Here is a 7,249-nt window from a genome sequence, read left to right as displayed (position 1 = left end):
GGAGGCCGGATTATGAGGTTAGGAGTTTGAGACCAGCCTGACCAATATGGTGAAACCCCATCTTTACTAAAAATACAAAAATTAGCTGGGCGTGGTGGCATGCGCCTGCAATCCCAGCTACTCAGGAGGCTGAGGCAGGAAAATCACTTGAACCCAGGAGGTGGAGGTTGTTGTGAGCTGAGATCATAACACTGCACTCCAGCCTGGGTGATAGAGTGAGACTCCGTCTCAAAAAAGGATACTATACCTATATCTGAGACAGTTAACTGATGGGAGAATTGATAACCGTAAAGGTTGGTTCCAGGCTGGGAACGTTAGCCCATGCTGGAATCCCCGCACTTTGGGGGCTGAGTTGGGAGGTTTGCTTGAAGCCAGGAGTTAAAGACCAGCCTGGGCAAGGATAGCAACATCCCATCTCTACAGAAATTTAAAAATTGGCTGGGTGTGGGGGCATGCACCTATAGTTGTAGCTACTCCGGAAGGAGAAGGCTGAGGCAGAAGGATTGAGTCCAGAAGTTGGAGGCTGCAGTGAGCTCTGATGGCACTGCTGTACCTCCATCCTGAGCGACAGAGTAAGACCCTGTCTTTCAATTTAAAGTTGGTTCTAGGGTTGTAGAATAGATTAAAAGCTTTGGGATATGGGGGAATCTGCGCTATATTAATTTTGTATTCCAATTTCATGTTGACTTTGCTATATCAAGATTGCTTTTTGTTTTAAGGGCTTCTCTGTTGAGAACATGTCTGGAGTTAAAGGTATTGGTATATTCCACAGATGTTTACTACTGAGCATGATAGCTTAGGAATGAATATGACTTGAACTCATTCATGTTTGGAGAGGTATTCAAATTAAGAACTGGATAGAACCACCTACTCTAAAAATGACCATAGAGTAAATTGGTTTAAGAAATTAGATCCCAAAGATCCTTGGTAAATTTTGAAGTCTTCATCAGTATATCCATATCAAAAGGGGATGACAGAAGCCAAAATAAATGAACTGTGGGCTAACAGGACAACTGAATTAAGCATCAGTCATATTAAAAAGGGCGAACTTGCCAGAGCTTGGTAGCTCTTCTTGGTGGCTAGGCCCAGAAGAAGATTAAGAATCCCTACAATTTGGCTTTTAGGAAGCCACATCCCTAGAAGGGGGAGAAAACCACATCAAGGGATCACCCCATGGGACAGAAGAATCTGAACAGCAGCCCTTGAGCCCCAGATCTTTACTTTCTTAGTCCACCCCGATGAGAAGGAACCAGAAAAACAATTCTGGTAATACGACAAAGCGAGGTTCTTTAACATCCCCAAAATCTCACACTAGCTCCCCAGCAATAGATCCAAATCAAGAAGAAATCTCTGAATTGCCAGAAAAAGAATTCAGAAGGTCAATCATTGAGCTACTCAAGGAGGCACCAGAGAAAGGTGAAGTCCAACTTAAATTTTGAAAAATATAGGATTAAAAGGACTAACATCAAGATAAATCTTTCGAAGATAAAATTGACTTCAGCTCTTTAGAGGAACTAAGGTGACCTTGGTGGATGGTGGAAGGAATCACGACATCCAAATCCTTTAAATAAAAATTAGAGTATAGTCTTTGGAATCCTTCAGACTGGGTTCAAACCCTGGATTTTTTAGCTAACAACTTGGGGAGACTGTATTAGTCTGTTCTCATGCTGCTGATAAAGCTTTCAGTGTCAGGTATGTCTATAATGGACTCAGTTCCATTTAAGAAAAAGCTTTAATGGACTCAGTTCCACATGGTGGGGAGGCCTCACAATCATGGCAGATGGTGAAAGGCATGTCTTACCTGGAGGCAGGCAAGAGGCAACTTGGGCAGGGAAAAACTACCCTTTATAAAACCATCAGCTTTCATGAGATGTATTCATCACAGGAACAGTACAGGAAAGATCTACTCCCATGATTCAACTACCTCCTACCAGGTCCCCCGATGACATGTGGGAATTGTGGGAGCTATGATTCCAGATGAGATTTGGGTGGGGACACAGCCGAACCATAACAGCATTGCTTTCCCTTCTTGAGCTTTGGCTTTCTCATATATAACATGAGGATGGAATAGTAAGAGTCGAGCTTCCTAGGCCCACTCTGATCAAATTAAATCAATTAAATCCTTATGGGTGAAATTCAGGCAGGGATATTTTGTGAAAGCATTTCACATGATTCTAATATGTGGCCAGGTTTGAGAACCTCTTGAGTAGATGAGATCTAAAGCATTCGATCTCAAATTTTAGGCTGCATGCCATGCAAATCACCTAGGCTTGAACACTAGCAACCCTAATTGCCAGGGTCAGAAAAGGGACTCAGAGATATGCCTTGTGAACAGGCTCTCCAGGTGCTTCTGATGCAGGCAACCCATGGACCACATTTAGAGGGGAGGAAATAATGGCTTCAGCTCTTTCATCTTTGATGTACTAAGAATCTGCTGGGGGAAGGTATTGAGTGGGCTGTATTGATTAGAAAGGGAAACTTCATTTAAGCAGCAGAAAAAGGGTTAGTTTTCAGAAATAGAAGTAAGTGAAAATGTATAGTTCAGCAGGACATTGTCCAGACAAACATAAGGAGGAAGGGAATGGTAAAATGTGCTGCTTGGGACTTCTTTGATGAGGATGCCAAGAGCACGGTGTCTGGTTGTAGATCTGAGGTCCCATGGAAGTCTCAACTGCTTATGATTAATTCCTGTTTCCTCTAGTGGTGTCCACTCCCCATGAAAATTATAAGACAAGCTTTATAAGACAGGATGTTGGTTCTGAGAATAGGTTATGAAATCCATGGCTTCCACCTTGTGGGCACTCTCTGGCTCTTTTTACTTGCTGAAGGAAGCTGGCATTACTTCATAAAGCAAGCTTGCATGTTGTGAGCTGCCCTACGGATAGACCTTCACGGCTGGGAACTGAGGAATGAAAGTCCCTGGCTACAGTCAGCAAAAAACTCAGTCCGCCAGTTCAGTCTGCAAGAACTTGAATCCCGCTAATAGCTTTGCAAGTTAGCTGGAAAATGTATCCTTCTCCAGCCAACACTTTACATGATAATGGCCCCCACCAACACTGATTGCAGCCTCTTGCAAAACCCTAAGCCAACCTGGGCCTCTGGCCCACAGAACCTATAAACGTTTTTTTTGTTTTTTTTTTTTCTTTTTTTTGAGACAGGGTCTCTGTCACTGAAGCTGGAATGCAGTGAGTGATCTTGGCTCACTGTAGCATCACCCTTGACTTCCTGGAGTCAGGTGTTTCTCCTGCCTCAGTCTTCTGAGTAGTAGCTGGGACTACAGGAGTGCACCATGGTGTTCAGCTAATTTTTAAATTTTTTGTAGAGACATGGTCTCCTGATGTTACCCAGCCTGGTCTTGAACTCCTAGTCTCAAATGATCCTCTTGCCTTGGCCTTCAAAATCTTACAGGCATGAGCCACTGTTCCCAGCTATTTTAAGCTTTTAAATTTGGAGGTAACATGTTATGCGACAATAAAGAACTTACGCAAAGACTTACATTTATTTTGGGTTTAATGATCTGGTAGCTCACTAGCAAAGTCCTGGGAAAGCTATACAGTGACAGTTCCTTGTGTCTTGGGGGAAACTTCCAAGGCTTTGCTTTTCAGACCAAGCCTCTAATCTGGCTCCCCCAGTTTCTAGTAGCTGTGCAGCATTCTCTCACTTCTGAGACCTGGTTTTCCTATCCAGAAAATAGAGATGGCCTTGTCTCCCTTCAAAGTTGGGAATTGGAGATGAAGTGGTTCTTATCACAAAGACAGTAGTGCTTTTTACTTTGACATAAACAAGCAGGTTTACAAGGCATGGTCGGCAGGATTTCTGCACCCTAGTGAACAAGCTCTGCGTCATCTCCTCTTGAGTATGGGAGGAGTCTGTGGCTAGGATGCGATAGCACTCCCTTGGTAGCAGTAATAGGTGACTTATCAGTTGACAGAGTTAATCTGAAGGGAGATAACCCTGGGTGAGCCTGAACTAGTTAGAAGAAACTTTAAAAGAATGCGAAGAAATTCAAAAAGGCACACCTCTGCTCACCTGGAAGAAGGTGCAAATATCCACATAGTAAACTTTCTATGGGGCTGCCTTGAAAGGAACGGCTGGTGGCTTTTACGGGCTAAGAGAACTCACCAGCTAACAATTAGCAAGGAAGTGGGGACCTTAATCTTACCTCCATGAGGAACTAAACTTTGCTGACAACCTTGATGAGTTTGGAAGATGACTTCAAGCCTCAGATGAGAATCACAGCCATAGTCAGCACTTAAGTTGTAGCTGGGGAGATCCTGAGCACAGGGCCCATCTCTAACCCATACCTAGACTTCTGAGCCCTGGAAATTGTGAGATCTCAAATGTGTGCTTTAAGTTACTAAGCATGCCTACTTTATTTTACAGCAATAGACATTAATACTCAAGGTTAGAATGGTCGCCTAATGGTATGTCAGGCACATTTGTAATGTTTCACTCTATGACTGTTACCGGAAAGGGGTCCAGATCCAGACCCCAAGGGGAGGGTTCTTGGATCTTGCACAAGAAAGGATTCATGGCGAGTCCGCAGGGTAAAGTGAAAGCAAATTTATTTAAGGAAGTAAGGGAATAAACGATGGCTACAGCATAGAACAGCGGCATGGGTTGCTTAGTTGAGTATACTTAGTTATTTCTTGATTATATGCTAAACAAGTATATTATTCATGAGTTTTCCTGGAAAGATGCAGGCAATTCCCGGAACCCAGGGTTTCTCTCTTTAGACTACAATAGGGTAACTTCTGGACATTTGCCATGGCATTTGTAAACTGTCATGGTACTGGTGGGAGTGTCTTTTAGCATGCTAATGTATTATAATTAGCATATAATGAACAGTGAGGGGGACTAGAGGTCACTTTCATCACTATTTTGGTTTTGGTGGGTTTTGGCTGGCTTCCTGTTTTATCAACAGTGTCTTTATGATCTATATCCTGTGATCCCAATCCTGTGGACCTCCCATCTCATCCTGTGATAAAAGTGCCTAACCTCCTAGGAATCCAGCCCAGCAGGTCTCCACCTTATTTGACCCCGCCCCTATTCAAGATGGAGTCGCTGTTTCAAAGCCTCTGACACATTTCAAATGTCTCTGACTATACTTATACTATTTTAGTAACCCTAGTGCTCAGCACTCTGGGGAATGATGGAGCATTGTTGATGAGCAAAGAAATGTGTAAAAGAATGAACAAAGAGGTAGGGTTCCTACCTCTTGGGTATTACAGCTGAAGAGAGAATAGTGCTGCTAAAATGGCTGCTCCTAAATCACGCTCCTTGATACACCCTATGAATTCAGTCTGTCTCGTTTGGGACTTAGGATTTGCCGACTTGGCTAATAGAATCCCTAAAAGACAAGCTTCTAGTATGTGCTGGGTTATTTCCCAAGAACCTGAGCATCAGTGACAACCAGAAGTAAAGTAAATGAATGGCTGGCATTTTAAGAGTATAGCTGCCGGTGAAGAGGAGCCAATGTTTGCACTTCTGAGAAGTATGGGGGCAGAAGCAGAACTTTTACTTAGACTGATCACAGTGGTAAATCAGATGCCAGCATCACCCATGGTATCAGCCTGAATGATTGCGGTCTCACTCCTGAGGCTTATGCTAAAGTGAGACTAGAAATAAGGTGGCTGAGGGCTGGGTGCAGTGGCTCACACCTGTAATCCCGGCACTTTGTGAGGCCGAGGTGGGTGGATCACTTGAGATCAGGAGTTTGAGACCAGCCTGGACAACATGGTGAAACCCCATCTCTACTAAAAATACAAAAATTAGCCAATATGGTGAAATCCCGTCTCTATGAAAAATAGAAAAAAATTAGCCAGGTGTGGTGGCAAGTACCTGTAGCTGTAGTTCGAGCTACTCAGGAGGCCGAGGCAGGAGAATCGCTTGAACCCAGGAGGCGGAGGTTGGAGTGAGCCAAGATCATGCCATTGCACTCCAGCCTGGTCAACAGAGAGACTCCTCCTCATAAAAGGTGGCCAAAGAGCATTCTTCAGTGATCTGTAGCTGCGTTATCCAATGTGGGCACCTCAAGCTGAGCTAGATACAGCTTTTTAAAAGAAATTTTATTTTTGGAGTTGTCTTGCTCTGTCGTCAAGGCTGGAGTGCAGTGGTACTATCAGCTCAATGAAGTCTGGAACTCCTGGGCTCAAGCAATCCTTCCACCTCAGCCCTTTGACATAGCTAGGATCATCAGCACTACCATGCCTGGCTGATTGTCTTCTGTAGCAACGGGGATCTCACGATGTTGCCCAGGCTCATATCACATCCCTGCCTTGGCCTCCCAAAGTGTTGAGATTACAGGCAGGAGCTACTGTGCCTGGCCAGATGTGGCTTTTGAGCACTGGAGATATGGCTGGTTCAAACTGAAATGTGCTGTGTGAAATTTATGCCAAGTACCAAGACTTAGTATGAAGATGTAAAATATCTCCTTATTTCTCTATTCATGACATGTTGAAATGATACTATTTTTAATATTGTGAGTTAAGTAAAAGACTAGTTTAACCTATTTTTACTTCTGTGGCTTGTCTGCTAGACAACTTAAAATTATATACGCATCTTGCCTTATATTTCTGGTAGGCAGTGCCAGTTTAAAGCATGAGAAAATCTATACCAGAGAAGGCAAGGCCAAGAAAACTGAAAGAAGCAAAATCAAATTTGGGCTAAAAAATTAAAATGTGACAAGTCTATATGATTACTAGATAAGTAAATCATATTAAACTTGGGCTAAATTAAAATGTGACAAGTCTGTATGATTACTAGAGAAGTAAATCATGAGTACTTTTACACATTCAAGTCTGTAATATTAATCAGAATGGGAAGAGTTGTCCAGTTTTTTCTCCTTAACCCTTCCCTTCTATTTCCCTCCCATTACCTCCTTCCCTCTCCTCCTTTAGTTTCCTCTGCCTTTTTTTGAGACAGGGTCTTGCCCTGTCATCCAGGCTCAAGTGCATTGGTGTGATCTTGGCTCACTGCAACCTCTGCCTCCTGGGCTCAAGTGATCCTCCCAGCTCAGCCTCCCAAGTAGCTGGGACTACAGGCATATGCTACCATGCCTGAGTAATTTTTTTGGTATTTTTTTGTGGAGGGTTCTCACCATGTTGCCTAGGCTAGTCTCAAACTCCTGGGCTCAAGTGATCCATGGGCCTTGGCCTCTCAGAGTGTTGAGATTACAGGTGTGAGCCACCATGCCTGGGCTATACTTTGTGCTTTGTAGACAGGATAGCTTTGAGCGACTATACTGTTA

The sequence above is a fragment of the Homo sapiens genome, chromosome 16 (genome assembly GCF_000001405.40).
Source record: "Homo sapiens chromosome 16, GRCh38.p14 Primary Assembly".
NCBI lineage: Eukaryota > Metazoa > Chordata > Mammalia > Primates > Hominidae > Homo > Homo sapiens.
Note: the sequence above shows the minus strand (reverse complement) of the source record.